At 54.5% G+C, this 19,114-nt stretch overlaps 1 protein-coding gene across 5 annotated transcripts in view, besides 3 other annotated features; it reads left to right on the top strand.

Annotated features, from left to right (window-relative positions):
• The first annotated feature begins 2,959 nt into the window (after positions 1–2,959).
• Positions 2,960–19,114, top strand: part of CRYBG2 (crystallin beta-gamma domain containing 2) — a 32,266-nt gene continuing 16,111 nt past the window's right edge. For 2 of the 5 annotated variants that reach the window (XM_005245918.3, XM_047423686.1), the window contains exons 1-8: positions 2,960–3,044; positions 10,378–13,345; positions 13,797–13,844; positions 13,931–14,043; positions 14,207–14,336; positions 17,661–17,800; positions 18,613–18,739; positions 19,043–19,078. In XM_005245918.3, the coding sequence (XP_005245975.1) occupies positions 10,433–13,345; positions 13,797–13,844; positions 13,931–14,043; positions 14,207–14,336; positions 17,661–17,800; positions 18,613–18,739; positions 19,043–19,078 (3,507 nt within the window). In that variant the 5' untranslated portion in view covers positions 2,960–3,044; positions 10,378–10,432. Of the gene's footprint in view, positions 3,055–6,276; positions 6,594–10,377; positions 13,346–13,796; positions 13,845–13,930; positions 14,044–14,206; positions 14,337–17,660; positions 17,801–18,612; positions 18,740–19,042; positions 19,079–19,114 lie in introns of those variants that run through there. The other 3 variants (NM_001039775.4, XM_011541673.3, XM_011541672.2) reach the window with 3 other exon arrangements.
• Positions 5,461–5,659: a silencer, noted in NCBI's record as "fragment chr1:26677922-26678120 (GRCh37/hg19 assembly coordinates)". NCBI's record gives its function as "represses an EF-1alpha promoter that drives an FKBP-Casp9 reporter gene in an ReSE screen in K562 erythroleukemia cells {active_cell/tissue: K562}" and the evidence as "EXISTENCE:reporter gene assay evidence [ECO:0000049][PMID:32094911]".
• Positions 6,875–7,721: an enhancer, noted in NCBI's record as "H3K27ac hESC enhancer chr1:26675860-26676706 (GRCh37/hg19 assembly coordinates)". NCBI's record gives its function as "activates a minimal SCP1, AML or CMV promoter by ChIP-STARR-seq in primed H9 embryonic stem cells {active_cell/tissue: H9 hESC(primed)}" and the evidence as "EXISTENCE:reporter gene assay evidence [ECO:0000049][PMID:30033119]".
• Positions 10,010–10,763: an enhancer, noted in NCBI's record as "H3K4me1 hESC enhancer chr1:26672818-26673571 (GRCh37/hg19 assembly coordinates)". NCBI's record gives its function as "activates a minimal SCP1, AML or CMV promoter by ChIP-STARR-seq in naive H9 embryonic stem cells {active_cell/tissue: H9 hESC(naive)}" and the evidence as "EXISTENCE:reporter gene assay evidence [ECO:0000049][PMID:30033119]".

Raw genomic sequence — 19,114 nt, 5'->3', positions numbered from 1 at the left:
TTGCTGGGGGTATGGAGTGCGCAGAGGAGGATCCAAGGCACTTTCCTACCTGGCCCCTATTCATGCCGTGGTGTCCAGCCAACCTTTGGAGTGGAGTCTAAGCAAGCCATTTCACCTCTCTGGGCCTCATTTTCTGTATCCGAGAAACAGGGGGCACTAATATCCACCTTCTAGGATTACTGTGAGGCTTAGGGGAGATCATGTAGGTACAATGCCTAGTGCCAAGCCTGGCACACAGGAGGGCCTCAGCAAACGGCCAACTTTTGCATTATCAGGGCACTGTCTTTCTCTGTATTCCAGCCCCATAACAGGCCCAGCCCCCATTTTGCAATCAAGCCCATTCCTGTCTCTTTCTTTGCCTCTGGGGGTGAAGTGGACAGCTGGGAGAGGGAACAGAGAGGAGGCTGCCACATAGACCTTCCCCAAAATGTGTTAGGAGTTCATCCTGCTGGGCTGTGGGCCCTGAGAAAAGGTTGGGGGAGAGGACTTCCGGGTCCAGACTGGGGGTGATGGTGTTGGCACAGGAGGAGGCTACTTCATTCTCTTCCCCGTGTGCTTCCTTCCCAGGCCTCTGGATGGCCGGAGCTGCTCTGACCTAGCCCAGGGTACCACCTGCAATGTCAGCCTCAAGGTAGGAGAAAATCCAAAGGGGAGTGGGGAGGGCAGGAGCTCTGGGAGGGCTGAGCAGGTTGTGAGAACCCGGACCAACAAGTCAGACAACCGGAGCTCCAGTCCTCCCTCTGCCACTGATCCACCATGTGACCCTGGGCAGATCATTCCCCTCCTTGAAACCTCAGTGTTCCCTTCTGCAAAATGGGGACAATAATGCTCCACTCTCAAGGCTGTTGTGGGAGATAAAGTAATGGATATGGGACATCCCGCATGGTTGGGGCCCGGACTTTCAGGAAATGTGACTTCCTAAAGCTGGGATCTTCTGGGGAGGGATGTAGGGGCAGAGGGGCCTCGCTTCTCTCCATTCTCTTCTTTGGCCTGACCGCCTTCCATCTTTGGTCCCTCTTCCCCACTTCCTGGCATGGCCCCTCAGGGGTGAGGCTGGGCTAGTGGCTTAACCTCCTGCCCCAGTTTCCTCATCTGCAGTAAGGACCTGAGCCCTGAATTGAACAGTGAAAAAGTGTTCTTCCCTTGGAGGAGTGAGGGCAGCCTCCTCTGGAGGTGGCTCAAGCAGCCATGTGTCTCTCTTGGGTCTTGAATACCATGAGTAATTGCCAGTGTTTAATTGCCTACTTGTCATGTGTTGGGCCCTCTGCATGGACTATCTTGTACCATCTGTACCACACTCTCAGGAGGCAGGTACTGTTATTATCACACCCATTTTCCACATGAGGAAACTGAAATACAAACGGTACTGCAGCTATTATAGGAAGCAGCAGGGCGGAGATTCAAGCCCAGGTTGCCTCGATCCAAGCCTCCAGGTTCATCACTGTACTCTTGTCTCTTGAGGTGGTCAGCCCCTGGGGAATGAGAGGCTGCATCTGTTTCATAGATGAGTAAATTAAGGCATTTGGCAGCAAGGATCCCTGCTAGGCGGAATTTTGACCTCCTCTGTTGCCAAGGAAACAGCCCATCTTTTAAAACGGGTCGTTTTGGGGGCAGTGTCCATCTGGGTCTGGGGTGCTGAGCCCTCTCCTCTTATCCCCACAGCCAGGCTGGACCCCAGGGGAAGACAGCAGAAGAGGTCAGGTGTTGTCCCATTTCAGGGGAACCCTCTTCTCTGGCTCCCTTATATCCCAGGTACATCCTCCCAGGTGTTCTGTCTCAAGCTGGGAGGGTACAAGAGAGGTGGCCGCAGTCTCTCTGTTAGCTTGGAATGGGCAGAGGCCATGGGCACTTGAGGCAGGCCTTCCCACCCAGCCCTCAGCCCCAGGGCGGGGAAGCACCTCAGGACTGCAAGGAAGCTGAGATCTCCAGCCTTTGGGGGGCATGGCCGGCCAGGCCCTGGGTGCCTTGTCACCTGGGAGGGAGTGCGGCACCTGAGCGTTGGGAGCCCTCGCTGGCTTGCTGTGTGATCTCAGTCATGTCGCCGTCTTCTTTGGGCCCCACTTTCCTCTTACGTAGAATGGGAAGGGGTGAGTTAAATGCTGAAGGGCCTTCCCAGAGCTCTGTCCCTTTGTCCAGCTCTGGTGGCCTTAGCAGCCTCTCCCTAGGGCAGCTTACCTTGGTGTCAGAGCCCTGTTCAGCTTCCTTGTGACAGGGAAGATACCAGGTACCAGGGGTGCCTGGAGGGCAGGGGGAGCTGTCACTATGCCCCTGCCTCTCTCAGTGTCTATCTCTGTTTTCACCCAGGCCCAAGGCCAGAGCTGCTCAGAATGGGACATCCATGTAGGGGACCATGATGATTTCTGGATTTGGAAGCAACAAGGAATCTCGGGGGGTCCTGCTCAGTCCCTGGGGCGCCTACAGAGGCCAGCGGTGGGCAGCGCCTTCGACCTGGCCAGCCATGCCTCCCTGGGGCCTGAGAGCCTGGCCCTGGAAGTGGCCTCAGGAGAGTCTGCTCGTACCAGGCTCCCCCAATACCCAGGGCCTGCTCCTGGACATGGGGAGCAGGGATCCTCAGGCTGCACCTGTCAGCAGTCTCCACCCACAGCTTCAGAGGTCCCTCTGAGGCCTGAGCCACCCAGCAACCTGGAAGACGCACCCCTGCTGCTCCACCCTGCATCCTTCCCCAGGGCAGAGGGGACAAAGGGCAAGCCCGCCACCCCAGGGACTGCCTTGCCAGAGCCTGCCCAGACCCTACACACGCGTCCCTCTTCCAGGAGGACCCGCTACTACATCACTGTCACCCTGCTGGGGCACAGGCAAGCACCAGGGGAGGAGGGTGAAGAACCGGCCCAACCAGCTCCACACCTCTGCGGCCCTGAGGAATCTGAGGGCTGGTGGGAGCCTCCCCAGGGGCCACGCCCCATCACAGGGTGCCGGACGGCCCCGCCTCAGGAACCCCAGCTGAGAGCCCAATCGCATCAGGGGAGCACGGCCCAGCAGCAGGAGCTCCAGGCTGGCTGGACACCTGGGTCCCCACGCAGACTGTGAGTAGAGGTCGGTCTGTGTGTGGAGATGGGAGGGGAGACTGGCCTGGCTGCCCTGTCTTGAGACTTTGCCTATTCCCTGGGCCTCTCCAGCTCTAGGCCCATTCATTCAGGACCCTGAGCCGACTCTGCCTTCCCTCCCTGCTCCAACCCTGCCTTCCTCTCCCTCCCTTTGCCCACAGGCTACCTCCTGGAACCCACTGCTTCTCACCCCCACTGTCCATCTGAGAAAGGGGAAAGTCTGTCAGGGAGAGGATGGGCAGGAAGGGGGGTTGCCTTCTTCACAGCATACACCACTCCCCAGTTCTGTTCAGGAGGCCACAGACTCAGCCTGGGAATTGGCACCCAGCCTAGGTGCTGGGTGTCCTGAGGCGAGTTGCTTAACCTCTCTGGGCCTTGAGTTGTTGAGAGGATTTGGTAGCTGAAAATGAGGAAGGAGGAGGTGGCTACAGGAATATACTTTGAACTCCAGAGACTGGGGGTGCCAAAATAGCAGGGATGCTTATTAATTACGTCTCAGTGACAGCAATAATTACCCCACCTGGCTCTGAGCTGGAAGCCAAAGGAGTGGGTGTCGAGTTTCCCAAGCCTAGTTTTATTTGTGTTGAAATGACTCTCCTAAATCTGCCTGGGGGGCGCAGAGGTGGAAGGATATGTCCCCCAAAGCTCATCAAGGAGGGATGAACATGGAACCTCCCAGGGATGACCCTGAAGAGGAAATGAGCCTGGGGTGGGGTTTTGAAGGGTGCTTAAGGATGATGGGGTGGCTGTCATTTGCAATTTGTTTTCTAAGCATAATTTTATTTAATCTTCCCAACCATCCCATGAGTAGGGACTGATCCCAACCCCTGTCACCTAATTCTAGGAGGCTCTGAAAGTCACTTGCTCAAAGTCAACTAGAAAGTGAAGGGGCTAGAATCTGAACTTAGGTTTCTATAACTCCAGTGCCTGTGCTCTAACCACTGCTCCATCCTGCCTGGAAGAAACCTCTTTGGCCCTGTGCAGAGAGTGGAGGGTTGAGTGAGGTTGCTGTGTGGGCTCCAGGGTTTTCTAGGCTCCTATGGCGGTGGATTGGGCAGCATTGTAGTAGCAGAGGCAGAATCAGGAATGCTGGGGTCCTCCAAGCAGGGGTCAATGTGACTGCTTCCGTGCCAAGGAAGAGGGAGATGTAGGACCCAGGCTGGCTCTGAGACCTGCTTGGATGCCCCAGAAGTCAGGGGCTGGGGGACAAGGGCTGCAGAGAGAGGGAAGGGGGGTGGAGGAGGCTACCTTGGAGAGGGGGACGGGAAAGAGAAGTAGGGTTAGCTGGGGGGAGGTGGTTTCTATCTGCCACTACCTGGGTATTTTGGGCCCAGGTGGATAATGACAGACTCAGGTGGGAGGCTAGGGCTCACTTAGAGTGGGGGGCAGGTGACCTCCAGAAACATCATCCTTCTATGTCCCCTTCCTGGGAGAAGGTTCTCTGGGCCAAGATTGGCAAATATGGGAGTCGAGAAGAAGTGAGACATAGCTGGGACTGCCAGTGGGAATGTGTAAGATACGTGTGCATCCAAGCGTGTGTGTCCACGTTCAGGGGTAGGTGAATTTCAAGGGGAAGAGAGCTTGGGGCTGTGAATTGACTGTGTGTGTATTGTGAATGTGTGCACGTGTGTGTCACTGTGCCTGTGTTTCTGTCTGTATGTGATTTGTGTGTCTGTTGTGGCTCTGAGTGCCTGTGCGTGTTTGTATTTCTTGGGTGAGTGTATATTTGTGTGTGTGTCCCTGGTTGTGTATGTTTTTATAGGCTTCTAGGTGTATCTTTGTGCCTGTGTGATTGTGGGTCTGTGTCGGTATCTGTCTGTGTGTCTGTGCCTGCGTCTGTGTGACACAGCATGTGTTTGCCTGCATGTGGGCCTGTGGACTGGTTTGGCCTAGTTTGGGGGTGACTCACAGGTAAGTGGGGAGAATCCAGGACTTGTTGGGTTAGACAAGGCTCTTTCCCACACTCCCCCCGCCCCCTCCTCAGCCTCTCCCTTCCCAGCTCCACACGCCTTGTTTGGAGGTCACAGGTCACGCTGCCAACAAATCCACTTCTGGTCTGGGGCCCTGCAGAAGAAAGGGCTCTGGGAATGGCCCCTTCTGCTGGCCCAGGAGAGGCATCCTGGGTCATTGTATTGGGGTATGTCTTCAGAGCAAGGACAAAAGGGGGCATCTATAGGCAGGCACATTCCAGCAGAGTCTGAAGGACATTCTAGCACTCATGACTGTTCAGGGACGGGGCAGGTGAACTGTCGAGTGGTGACCTCCCTGTCCCTGGAGGTATGCAGGCAGAAGCCAATGACCACATGCTTGTGGAATGACTGGCTATCAGGGGTGTTGTCCAGGGGTTGGGCTGGTTGAGAAAGACGTTAAATTCTGATTGGTAGGAGGTCATCGACAATATCTGATCTCATGATCGGCCGCCTCCTTTAACATTGCTCTCCTGTCGCTTTCCTGATGCCTATGGCGCTTTCCAAATGTCCCTGTTTTTATGTCTAATTCCTTGGCCCCTGGCTTCTTAATATGCCACCTTTCATGAGAAAGTTGGCTCTGGTTCTGGTTGAGTCTAGCCAAGGCCTAGCACATCCCTTGATACAATTAGCACTGAATGAGTGAGTAATTGAATGAATGAATGAATGAGTTAGAGCTCAAGCTTTGCCACTTACTATAAGCACCATCAGAGACAAGGAAGCTCGGAGAGTGGAAGGCAGGTGGACAGGGGCTTAGGAGGTGCTCAGCGAGGGCGTCAAACTTCATTTGGGCAGAGTCCCAGCGAGGAGGGCAGGGGTTGCATGAGGAAAAAGGGAGCTCCCTAATGGGGACAGGGGAGTGGGCTGGGGCCTCAGTGAGAGGCTAAAATCCAGAGCCTTTGGTGTCTGGCTGTGTACTGCTCTCAGGAAGCCCTGGCCTGGGAAAATGACCAGGGCTCTACCTAACCCCTCCACCTTCCAGTCCCCCTTGGACCCTGTCCCTGACACTGTCATAGCCACCAGCAGTCCTGGAGTCAGGTCAGGCTTCCCGGGGCTTCAGTCTCTTTCATCTCTGCCCCTCATAAAGCCTGAGTCACTGCTGTGGCCACAGGGAAGGGTCAAAGTTCTGAATTCCACCAGCTTCTCAGGAAGGAGGACAATGGGAAATGGGGGAGGGGAGTGGGGGCAGTGGGTCCATTTCCTGCCCAGAGTCAGGTCTCTTGGGGAGGGGAGGGTACCTCATGGAGAAGGCCCAAAGACTCGGGCTGAACAGGCTGGCCTCTCTGGGGTTCGTGGGGCCTAAGAATAGGATTGCCCTGGTCAGTGTAGCTTGGAAGTCAGGGAGTGGGGGTGGAGACGCCCTCCAGGACTGACATGGCTCCCTGTAAATGTAAACCCCCAAACCAGAGACTCAGTTATAGGATACATATATTAGGGAGTTTGGTATGGTGAGTGAGCACTTAGGGTTGGGGTTCAAGTCTTGTTTCGGTTACTCTGTGACTTTGGACAAGTTTCTTAACCTCTCTGAGCATTTAAAAAATCTCATCTGCAAAATGGGAAGGTATGATCTAATTTATTAATAATTTATTCTTTATGAGGTCTCAAGCTCCTGGGATTCTTCTGAGGCTTCAATGGGACAATGAATCTAAAGCACTTAGCAAGGTGTTTGGCAGAGTCAGCCCTCCCCAAATGGCTGTTTTTGTTGTTGTTGCAACTAGTAAAACAGAGAAATTCACCTGAGAGTTCCTAGGGAGCTTAGTCTATTTTCTGTTGCTTATAATGGAATACCTGAACCTGGAAGCCCAAGGTCAAGGGGGTGCATCTGGTAAGAACCTTGTTGGTGATTCTCTGCAGAGTCCCGAGGGGGCTCAGAGCATCACATGGCAGTGGGGCTGAGGTGCTAGTTCAGGTGTCCCTTCCTCTTCCTATAAAACCACTGGTCCGGTCAGGCACAATGGCTCACACCTGTAATCCCAGCACTGTGGGAGGCGGAGGTGGGCAGATCTCTTAGGCTCAGGAGTTTGAGACCAGACTGGGCAACATAGTGAAACCCCAACTCTACAAAAAATACAAAAATTAGCCAGGCATAGCGGTGCAGGCTTGTAGTCCCAGCTACTCGGTGGGCTGAGGTGGGAGGACTGTTTGGGCCCAGGAGGCAGAGGTTGCAGTAAGCTGAGATTGTGCCACTGCACTCCAGCCTGGGCAACAGAGCAAAACCCTGTCTCAAAAAAAAAAAAAAAAAAAAAAAGCCTCTAGTCCTACTCCCATGATCACTCATTAATCCATTAAACCATTAATCTATTAATCCATGAGTATATTAATCCATTCATGAGGCATAGCCCTCATAACCCAATCACTGCTTAGAGGCCCCACCTCTCAATATTACCACATTGGGGATTAAGTTTCAACATGAGTTTTGGAGGGGACAAATATTCAAGCCATAGCAGAAGCTTAGAAGGTCTTCTTTGGCAGGTGTTAATATTATCCTACATTTAGTAAGGGAGGCTATGGAGACCCAGAGAGATCAAGGAAGAGTCAGAAAAGAAACAAGACCCAGGCCCCACCCCTCCAGGACGGAGGGTGAGACATGCTCTGCTGAGGATGATCACAGGAGCAGCTGGACATGCCCCAGAGCTGTGGCCTGGGGGTAGGAGGGAGGATGCCTGGATGTGAAATCAGAAGATGGGAATTTAAATCCCTGCTTGACAACCTCATAGCCGCGTCATCCTGGGCCAGTCACTCGTCTTCTCTGACCCTCGGTTTCTTAACCTTCAGTAGGGAAAAAATCACAGAGGACAGAATCGAGGGAAGAGTGCCTTGTAAAGCCCAAGTGCCCTAACGGAGCCAAGGGGCTCCATTTATTTACTTTTTTTTTAAAATTTTAATTTTGAGACAGAGTCTCGCTCTGTTGCCCAGGCTGGAGTGCAGAGGCGTGATCTCAGCTCACTGCAACCTCCGCCCCCCAGGTTCAAGCGATTCTCCTACCTCAGCTTCCCAAGTAGCTGGGATTACAGGTGCCCACCACCATGCCTGGATAATATTTTTATTTTTAGTAGAGACTAGGTTTCATCACGTTAGTCAGGCTGGTCTCGAACTCCTGACCTCAGGTGATCGGCCTGCCTCGGCCTCCCAAAGTGCTGGGATTACAGGCGTGAGCCACCGCACCCAGCCTTATTTTTGTTTTTATTAAAAACTTTTTTTAGGCCGGGCGCAGTGGCTCACGTCTATAATCCCAGCACTTTGGGAGGCCAAGGCGGGTGGATCACTTGAGGTCAGGAGTTTGAGACCAGCCTGGGCAACATAGTGAAACCCCATCTCTACTAAAAATACAAAAATTAGCTGGGCATGGTGGCACATGCCTGTAATCCCAGCTACTCGGGAGGCTGAGGCAGGAGAATCGCTTGAACCTGGGAGGAGGAGGTTGCAGTAGGCTGAGATCGTGCCACTGCACTCCAGCCTGGGCGACAGAGCGAGACTCTGTCTCAAAAAATAATGATAACTTTTCTTAGCGATAAGATCTCTCTGTCACTCAGGCTGGAGTGCAGTGACACGATCATAGCTCATTGCAGCCTGGGCTCAAGTGATCCTCCCACCTCAGCCTCCAGGGTAGCTAGGGCTACAGGCACACACCACCATGCTGGCTAATTCTTTTAATTTTTTGTAGAGACTTGTAGAGTCTTTTTATGTCACCTAGGCTGGTCTAGAACTGCTGGCCTCAAGCAATCCTCCCACCTCTGCCTCCCAAAGTTCTGGGATTACAGGTGTGAGCCACTGCATCCAGCTCTGAGAGGCTCCATTTAGACCTACACTTGCACACAGACCTGCCCCTGTGCTCTGGAGACCATCAGCAGGTGCTCATGCCCATACACACGTGTGCACACCAGCTAACATTTGGTCACAAATCTCCAAGGTGACAGCAGAAAGTTGATGAGCCAGCAATTTAGGTTATAAGGCGAGCATTTTGGGTGTGGTGGCATGTGCCTGTAGTCCCAATTACTTGGAGAGTTAACGCAGAAGGATCACTTCAGCCCAGGAGTTCAAGGCTACAGTGAGCTACTGCACTTCAACCTGGGCAACAGAGCAAGACTCAGTCTTATAAAATAAATTAAAATAAAAAGATAAAAAGTTAGGCCAGGCACAGTAGTGGCATATATCCATAATCCCAACATTTTGGAAGGCCAAGGTGGGAGGATCACTTCAGCCCAGGAGTTCGAGACCAGCATGGGCAACATAACAAGACCTCAAAGTACAAAATAAAAACTAGCTGGGGCTGGGCACGGTGGCTCACACTTGTAATCCGAGCACTTTGGGAGGCCAAGACGGGTGGATCATGAGGTCAGGAGATCAAGACCATCCTGGCTAACACGGCGAAACCCCGTCTCTACAAAAAATACAAAAAAATTATCTGGGCGTGGTGGAGGGCACCTGTAGTCCCAGCTACTTGGGGAGGCTGAGGCAGGAGAATGGCGTGAACCAGGGATGTGGAGCTTGCAGTGAGCCGAGATCATGCCACTGCACTCCAGCCTAGGTGACAGAGCGAGACTCTGTCTCAAAAAAAATAAATAAATAAAAATAAAAATAAATAAATAAATAAAAACTAGCTGGGTGTGGCGGCGTGTGCCTGTAGTCCCAGCTACTTGGGAGGCTGAGGCAGGAGGATCACTTGAGCCCAGGAGTTCAAGGCTGCAGTGAGCTAAGATCATACCACTGCACTCCAGCCTGGGTAACAGAGTGAGATTCTGTCTCACAAAAAAAAAAAAAAAAAAAAAAAAACGCAGGGGGAGGTTTCATTGTTTCTCTTACTGGACTCTGGCAAGACTCCAGTTTTGTGGCTGAGGACCCTGATGCTTGAACAGAAGAAATGGCCAGTTAGTGAGCAACTAAGGAACCCAGCTCTGCTTGAGGCCAAAGCCCATCTTCCCTGAACAGAGTTAGAACAACGCTTGCCCAGTTTTCGGCTTTCTAGTTTTCAGCTCCTGGGGGACTAGACCTAGGGCTCTGTGGGCAGAGTCCCAGCCCCCCTATAGACCTGTGGGTCAGCTGCATCTTCCCTTCTGCCTTCTTCCTTTTCTCTCCTTCTGGGCTCAGGCCTCAGCTTCACCTTTGAAGGACCCTGACCTAGGAGATCACCTGAAAGTCAGGGAGAGGGATGGATGAGGGGCTCTGATCAACCAAATCAGAGCTGAGACTACCATGCCCATTTCACAGATGAGAAAGCAATGGCCCAAAAAGGCCAAGCGATTTGCCTGAGGTTCCCAGCCTGACTTGGGTAGGGGTGGTTATTCTGCACTTTAGGAAGCCACTCTCACCACCCTCTGACCCTCATCTTTCTTATTCCTCTGCAGGGAGCTGGACCACAGTGGGACAAGGACACCTCCAGACAGGTTGCCAGGGCCCCACATGGAGGAGGCAGGTGGGCCCATGGCCCGGGCCAAGGCCCGAGTGGTAAGTGCCACATTGACATGGCGGCAGCGGCCCCCCACCCAGGAAGAGATCAAACATGGTTTTCACAAGGTGTCCCTGGTGTCAGGGGCCCAGATGGAAGCCCCGCAGAAGGAGATGTTTGAGTTCAGCCGTCGAGAGGAAGTGGAAGTCAATGGCTTTGCAACACAGGAAGAAGAGACTGTGAATTGCCAGGGCCCTCGGGATACAGCTGGCTCCAAGAACTTCCAGAGCCATGGACCCATCTTTTCCAAGAAGTACATACCACCTCCCAAGGAGAAAAGGCCTGAGGGGAGGCTGAAGGAGGCTGTGGACCAGAGTGATGGCAGCCGCCAAGCTCCCAGGACTGAGCCCCCATGTGTGGGAGCTATGGCCAGGACTGAGCTTTTGGTTCCCCTGCCTGGGCCCCGAGAGCCAAGTCCCCACCCAGGTGTAGGTCTCACCAGTGGTAGCTCCCGGAGCCTCGAGGAATACCGAGTGACACGCACTGTGCGGACCACCACAGTGGTGGGAGGTCATGTGGACCGGCGGATGAGCAGCTCTGTGACTGTGAGGCCAGTGTCCTCAGGCGAGGCCCTGCCACGGGGCCGTCAGGTCTCCCGCATGGTGCCGCCAGTGGTGGTGGGCTCCCCACCAGGCTCGCCCAGCCGCAGCCAGGCCGTGAAAGTGCTAAGTAACCTCGTGCCTGCTGGGCACAGCCCCCCTGCCAGTCACCTGCCCAGGCCCACGGCTGGCGGGCCAAGGAGCACAGGTCTGGGCAGCACAGTGGGGGCAGCCTTGAGGCAGCTGCCTGAGACCGGGACAGCAGAGCTTAAAGACAGCTCTGCCCTGGCCTCTACAGGCATCCCAGCCAGTGCTCACCTGCCTAAGAATCAGGATGCCCCTGCAGCCTGTCCGGACAGAGACCAGGGCAGAGCCCCGGATGCCAGGGCCTGTGAGCTCTGGCAGGTGCTGGGAGCCCCCAGTTCCACTGAGCTCCCTCTCCAGACTTCTCAGGGTCAAGCATCAGTCCCCTCCTCTCCCAGACTCGAGACCCATGTCCCCTCTCCTGGCCTAACTCACCCTGCAAAGCAGCCTGTGGTGCCCACTCACCCCGGGGCCCGGCTCACTCCCCTTGTTCTGCCCCCTAAAAAAAAGGACGGGCCCGTGGACCCCCCTGCTGCCACCGTCCTGCCCATGGTGAGGAGCGAGCATGTGACAGTCCCTGGACAACCTCCTGCTCCATCCACTACAAGAAGGAAGGATGTCCCCAGCCCAGGAGGTCTTTCTGCTCCATCGTCCCCAAGGAATAAGTTTGTTCAGAACTCTGAAAATGTCCCTGTCCTCCCCTTTACCCAGAGGGAGGTCGTGAAGGGCCCCGGTGCTCCTGCTGCCTCATCTCCCACCCGGAAGGAGGTGGTGCAGGGGTCCAGTGCTTCTGCTGCCTCGTCCCCCACCTGGAAAGAGGTCGTGAAGGGCCCTGGTGCTCCTGCTGCCTCATCTCCCACCCAGAAGGAGGTGGTGCAGGGGTCCAGTGCTCCTGCTGCCTTGTTCCCCACCTGGAAAGAGGTCGTGAAGGGCCCCGGTGCTCCTGATGCCTCATTTCCCACCTGGAAAGAGGTTGTGAAGGGCCCTGGTGCTCCTGCTGCCTCATCCCCCACCCAGAAGGAGGTGGTGCAGGGGTCTGGTGCTCCTGCTGCCTTGTCCACCACCCCAAAAGAGGTTGTGAAGGGCCCTGGTGCTCCTGCTGCCTCATCGCCCACCCAGAAAGAGGTTGTGAAGGGCCCCTGTGCTCCTGCTGCCTCATCTCCCACCCAGAAGGAGGTGGTGCAGGGGTCTGGTGCTCCTGCTGCCTTGTCCCCCAAGTCAACTGAGGTTGTCCAGGGCCCAAAAGGCAGCAGTAGCATCCAAAAAGAGGCTGTCCAGGGTATTGCAGGCAGCCTTGCCCCGCCCCTCACCAAGGAAGAGACTGTTCAAGGCCCAATTGCTCCTGCCACCTCACTCCCCAAACAGGATAAGGGGGTCCAGGACTCTGAAGGGAGCCCCATCTCATCTCTCACCCAGAAAGAGGTTGTGCAGGACCCTGATGCTCTCCCTGCCCCATCTTCCTCAGTGGACAGGGTGTCCCCCAGCCCAGGAGGCACCCCTGCCCCAGTGCCAACAGGAGCAGAGGCCAGCACGGAGTCCCAGCTTGTCTCTGATCCCACCGAGGGCAAGACGTGCACAGAGACATCAAGGGAGGAGGATGAGGTGGCCCTGGCCGCTGACCTGGAGATATTCCTGGATACGCTGCGGAGCATGGAGCCCCCTGAGATCCTCCGCACTCACCGGCTGCCACGAGCCCCTCGCTCCTCCTACCTGTCCATGTACGCCACGCTGCCTGCCATTGAGGAGGACCAGCTGGGGCCATGGGTGCTGGGCCCCGGACCCCAGGAGGTGCCTTCACTGGAAGAGAAAGAGGAGGAGGAGGAGGAGGAACCAGAGAACCCCTATCTGAGTGACGATGAGAAGCTCCAGCGCAGGCAGGAGAAAGCTGGGCCCAGCCCCTCCAGGGACCTCCACCCTGCCAGACCCACCCAGGTCTCCTGCTCTCCTCTGGAGATGATGAAGAAGCATGTAGCAGGAACCAAGGGCCCCCACTCAGAGCTGGGATTGGAACTGCAGGGAGGCAGCAGGCCCACTTCCCGTCTTGGAGGCAGCCTTCTGTTCGGCAGTCTGGTGCCTACCGCCAAGGAGGCCTCCACCCCGGAACCGCTGGGCACAAAACTATCTGCTCTGCTGCCCCATGGGGCACCGGGGCTCAGGAAGGTGCCAGGACAGTTGCCCCTGCTTTGCAGTGAAAGATCATCCCCAACGGAGAAGCTTGCCTGTTCCCTGCCCCTGGAGGGGTGGGTAAGTGAGGCCTCGGGTGGGCAAGGGAGGTGCCTGGCCTCACCTGGGTCAAGGCTTGAGTGGTGTGAAGAGAGTGGTGCTGGGAGTCAGAGTCTGGGGGCAGAGGCTTCTGTCTGAAGTCTGGTTCAGTTGACCTGTGCAAGCCACATCTCTCTGGGCCTCAATCTCCCTATCCCTATCCCTACTGTGGGAGGTTTGTACTGTGGATTCCAAAGGGTGTGGGGGCTCCAAGATCCTGGGAGCTGAGGAAGGCGGGTGATGAGCACCAAGCTCCTGGGACAGGGTGATGAGGCCCTTGGGGGTTGGGAACAAGTGTGAGCATCCTCTATGCGCCAGCTCCTTGCGGGTGGAGGTTAATAGGGAGGATGTGGGATCCTTGGAATGGCGGGTTGTGGGGAGGCAGAAAAGAGGTGACCCCACAGGACTTCTTTATCACCTGCCTCCGTTTCAGAGCCCAGCCTTAAAGACCCAGGGCAAGCTGAACACCAGGCCTGGAAAGGTAGGGTTGTGGGGGCAAGTGGGTGGGGGCAGCAGGATGCAGGGGCCTGGGGTCAGGGCCTGAGGACCCCTTCTGTGCCTTCTCAGGTGATCTTCTTCTCAGAGTCTGGCTGCCAAGGCAGTGGCAGGGAGGTCTGGGGAGACATCGTTGATGCCTCAGGCTGGGCCCCCGTAGCCTCCATAAGGGTAGTTCGAGGCTGGTGAGTGGGGAGTGCCCAGCAAGGCACTTGGCTGTGAACCTGGGGGGATGCAGAGGGGAGTGAGGAGTGACCAGTCCAGCCTGGGAGAAACCCCATCAGCTACCCAGCAGCCCTGGGCACATCCTCCTCCCCATCTGTGATCCTGGAATCTCTGTGCCCACAGCTGGGTGCTGTACGAAGAGCCAGAGTTCCGGGGTCAGAAGCTGGTCCTGCCTGAAGGAGACATGGAACTCAGAACCCCAGGGACAAAGTGGAGTCCCCAAGGCATCGGCTCCCTAAGGAGGGTTGTCTGGGTGAGTGAGTTGGAGGTGGGAGACGGCCTCGAGTGCCTAGAGTTGAAATCCCCGAGGCCAGGAGCAGTGACTCACGCCTGTAATGCCAGCACTTTGGGAAGCCAAGGCAGGTGGATCGGCTGAGGACAGGAGTTGGAGACCAGCCTGGCCAACATGTGAAACCCCGTCTCTACTAAAAATACAAAAATTAGCCGAGTGTGCTGGCATGCGCCTGTAATCCCAGCTTCTCAGGAGGCTGAGGCAGGAGAATTACTTGAACCCGGGAGGCAGAGGTTGCAGTAAGCCTGGATTGCACCACTGCACTCCAATCTGGGCAACAGAGTGAGACTCCGTTTCAAAAGAAATTCCTGGCAGAGATCTTATGGGGTAGTGGGCAGAGGGGCTTAATGTGGACTGGTCCATAGATTCTTGACCGTGGAGCTGACTGGGGAAGAAAGAGATTCTGGGGAATGGGCAGCCTGGCTTGAGGAGTCAGGGCCCAGGCAGAGGCCAAGCTCAGCTTGGGAAAGCAGCCTGGGGAAGTTTGAGTGGATGCTCAAGCAGGAAGGGGACAGAGCAGCAGAGACAAGATGGGAGGGAACGTGGGGGTTACCTGCCCCCCAGGAGCCAGCATGCAGGCCCCCAGTCAGACCCGAGGTGCCAGGCATGTTTGCTCATTCATTTGCTCACAGATGCTCACTCATGTCTAATATGTGCCAGGCACCGGTGCCAGGCAATAGGCAGTGGGGGGAGATCTCCTCTTTGCCCTTCAGGACTTACAGTCAAGCTAGGCTGTGAGGATTGGGTTTGGAGCAGGGACGCCATATAGCCAGACTAGGGATTTATAAACATCCCACTGGCTGCCAGGTGGAAAAAAGAGGGATCCTGGAGGCAGGGAGACCAAGAAGGGCTGTGATTTCCAGCCAGGGGCACCTCTAATTTTTGAGGAAGGGCTGTGTGGTTTGAAAAGTTAACATTATAATTTCAAAGGCCAGGCGCAGTGGCTCACGCTTATAATCCCAGCACTTTGGGAGGCCAAGTTGGGGGATCACCTGAGGTCAGGAGTTCAAGACCAGCCCAGCCAACGTGGTGAAACCCTGTCTCTACTAAAAATACAAAAATTAGCCAGGTTTGATGGTGGGCGCCTATAATCCCAGCTACTCAGGAGGCTGAGGCTGGAAAATCGCTTGAACTCGGGAGGCGGAAGTTGCGGTGAGCTGAGATCATGCCATTGCACTCCAGCCTGGGCAACAAGAGTAAAAAAAAATTATAATTTCATGTGCTGTGCTGTGAAAACAACAACATTGTTTTCACCGCACAGTAATAAACTACTGAAATTAAGCTTGACACGAGAAGGAAGAGCAATGACTGTAAAAGCAGTGTCTATCAGGCATTTTGGTTCTTTTGGTTTGTTTGATTTTTTTATTTTTTTTTGAGACAGAGTCTCGCTCTGTTGCCCAGGCTGGAGTGCAGTGGTATGATCTCGGCTCACAGCAGCCTCCGCCTCCTGGGTTCACGCGATTCTCCTGCCTCAGCCTCCCAAGTAGCTGGGACCACAGGCACCTGCCACTATGCCCGGCTAATTTTTTTTTGTATTTTTAGCAGAGACGGGGTTTCACCGTGTTAGCCAGGATGGTCTCGATCTCCTGACCTCGTGATCCACCCATCTCGGCCTCTCAAAGTGCTGGGATTACAGGCGTGAGCCACTGCGCCCGGCCTGATTTTCGTTTCTAATGAAAGAATGAATAACTGAGTCCAGAGCTGTTGCAATCTTCCTGGTAGGAGATGATGAGCGCTCATTAGGCTTAACTAGGACAGTGGCCCAGGAGGAGGGGATAGTTTACAAAGCCTCTCCAGAGGCTGGACGCGGTGGCTCACGCCTGTAATCCCAACACTTTGGGAGGCTGAGGCAGGTGGATCACCTGAGGTCAGGAATTCAAGACCAGCCTGGCCAACCTGATGAAACCCTGTCTCTACTAAAAAAAATACAAAAAATTAGCCGGGCATGGTGGCGGGTGCCTGTAATCCCAGCTACTTGGGAGGCTGAGGCAGGAGAATCGCTTGAACCCGGGAGGCAGAGGTTTCGGTGAGCCAAGATCACACCACTGCAATCCAGCCTGGGCAACAAGAGCAAAACTCCATTTCAAAAAACAAAAACAAAAAAAGCAACAAAAAAAACAAAGCCTCTCCAGAAACACACAAATGTTTGTGGACAATTAATTGTGAACTTCTGACAATAAATTTGTCTTCATGTGGGAGGTAAAGGCTTTGAAGTCAGATGTTTCTGGATTCCTTTGATTCATTCAGCATTGATTAGGTGCCTGTTGTATGCCAAGCACATGGGAGGTGCTGGGTTGCAACAGTGAACAAAAACTATACTGCTCTGCTACTTACAAGCTGTGTGACCTTGGGCAGGTTGCTTAACTTCTCCGTGCCTCACTTTCCTTACCTGTGACTGGATGAATAATGCCCACTGGGAGGACTAAATGAGATAGGGTAGGACATGACCTTAGCACAGTGCCTTGCATGCAGTAGATGCTTCGTACATATTTGATGAATGAGTGAGTGAATGAAAATGGTCCTGGTGGGGAAGAAACACTCAGAATACAAAGAGGATCTGCTGCTTCCTGGGATGACGTGCAGGCAAAGCCAGTCTGGACAGAGGCAGGAACCGTACCTAAAGAAGGAGTCAAAGTTGGAACTCAGGAAGTGGCTGTCCATCTTGCCCATCCTCCCACCAGGCTGGAAGTCAGGCTACCCAGAGGCAAGGCTATGGGCCTGGCACTTTGCAGGTTCTCCCGGGAACTTCTGTCCCAGGTCCCAAAGGTTCAGCAAAGGACCAGCACAGGCTTTGGTCTTAGGCTTGGCTGGCTGACCTTGCAAAGACCACCCTAGTCACTTTCCTGGTCTCTGGGGGAATGGCTACAAAGGTTTTCTCAGAAGCTATTTGGAGCCTTGGCTAAATGGACTTGGGGAAGCGGGGTGTTGTCCAAGGGGGGCTATTTATATATCTTTTCTTTCTTTTTTTTTTTTGTTTTGAGACGGAGTTTCACTCTTATTGCCCAGGCTTGAGTGCAATGGCATGATCTCGGCTCACCGCAACCTCTGCCTCCCAGGTTCAAGCAATTCTCCTGCCTCAGGCTCCCGAGTAGCTGGGATTACGGGCATGCCCAGCTAATTTTGTATTTTTAGTAGAGACTGGGTTTCTCCATGTTGGTCAGCTGGTCTCGAACTGCTGACCTCAGGTGATCTGCCCGCCTCGGCCTCCCAAAGTGCTGGGATTACAGGCGTGAGCCACCACGCCTGGCTGTTTATCTATATTTAATTTTCCCCCTCCTTCCACAGGACTACAGCACCCCGGAAATCAGCCTCTTCTCTGAGGAGGGCCTCAAGGGGGAGCAAGTGAAGCTAACAGAGGCCTTGAAGAATTCCCAGGGTCTGGAGAAGCCCCTGCAGGTGGCATCTGCCACCGTCTCTGCAGGACTGTGAGTCTGGTCTATTCTAGAATCCCCTCATTTGACATTCACTGTGCTGGGTGCTGGGGACACAGAGGTGACAGAACACAGTTCCTGCCTTCAGGAGTGCTCAGTCCACTGGTGGGGACAGGCAAGTAAGCAGACAATAGCAATTCAGTGTTTTGGGGTGAGGGAGCACAGAAAAACACCATACCATGAGAGGCAGAGTGTGGAAGTCAGAGAAACCCTCCTGGAGGAGGAGACACCATGCTGGGATGAGTTGGCCAAGAATCTAAGCTCCATGAGGGCAGAGATTGTGTATGCTTGTTCACCACTGTATCCCTGATGCCTGTAGCAGGGTCTGGCACAGAGCAGATGCTTCTAAATATTTGTCAATTGAATAAATGGGGAAAAGAGTATATCTGGCAGAGGGAATAGCACATGCAAAGGCCCAGAGAGGAGACAGCTAAGCTTCAAATTTTCAGTGTAGCCAGCATAAGCAACAAGTGGGAAGAACTGAGGCCCAGGGAGAAGGAAGAGGCCAGATTGCAGAGCCTCTTTGCATAGCCGGGCTTTATTGTGAGGCTAACAGGGAACTACTGGGGTTATTGAAGCAGTTTTCCATGCATGCTAGAGAAAAATGCTCCAGCTGCTGTGTGAAATTAGAGAAGGCAAAGCCAGAGGAAGGGAGACCAATGTGGCTACTGCAAGAGATTATACGAGACTGATGGGAACCTCCCCAGAAAACCTCCTTTTCCACTCTAAACCTTCCCTCCCGCCCACCAATCTGTGTCCCTTGAAGTCTCTCTGCTAGGGTGCAGCAGCCTCTCTGTTTCCCCTAGGTGGCTACTGTACCCCAAACCATTATTCGAAGACACTCCCTACATCCTGGAACCTGGAGAGTACCCCACCTCAGAGGCCTGGGGCACATCGGACCCCAGCGTGGGCTCCCTGAAGCCCATGAGATTGGTAAAGAACAGGGCACACCCACAGGCCAGGAGGTCTAGGCTCTGCCCCTGGTCCCAAGTAGCTGGTCCTGCAGTCTGTGGGAAGGGATGGGGGATGAAGTGTAAAACAGCACCCCTTGGAGACTGCTTCCTGGGAGCTTCTATTGGGAATGGGAGTGGGAGGAGAGGTAGGGATTAACCTAAGAGGTAGGGGAAAAGGGAAGACATGGGGTTGGGGTTCTCAGGATCAGGAAAATCCTAGATCCGCAGCCCCATCTGTCTTTCCCATCTCTGGGCTGGTGTCTCAGCTCTGTCTCCTCTGCAGGGCTGCCCAAGTGTGGAGAAGCCAGGGGAGCCCAGGGTAAGAGTCTGGGCTTAAGAGCCAAAGAGGGCCTTT

This window comes from Homo sapiens, chromosome 1, assembly GCF_000001405.40.
Source record: "Homo sapiens chromosome 1, GRCh38.p14 Primary Assembly".
Taxonomy (NCBI): domain Eukaryota; kingdom Metazoa; phylum Chordata; class Mammalia; order Primates; family Hominidae; genus Homo; species Homo sapiens.
Note: the sequence above shows the minus strand (reverse complement) of the source record. Positions and strands in the feature narration are given on the sequence as shown.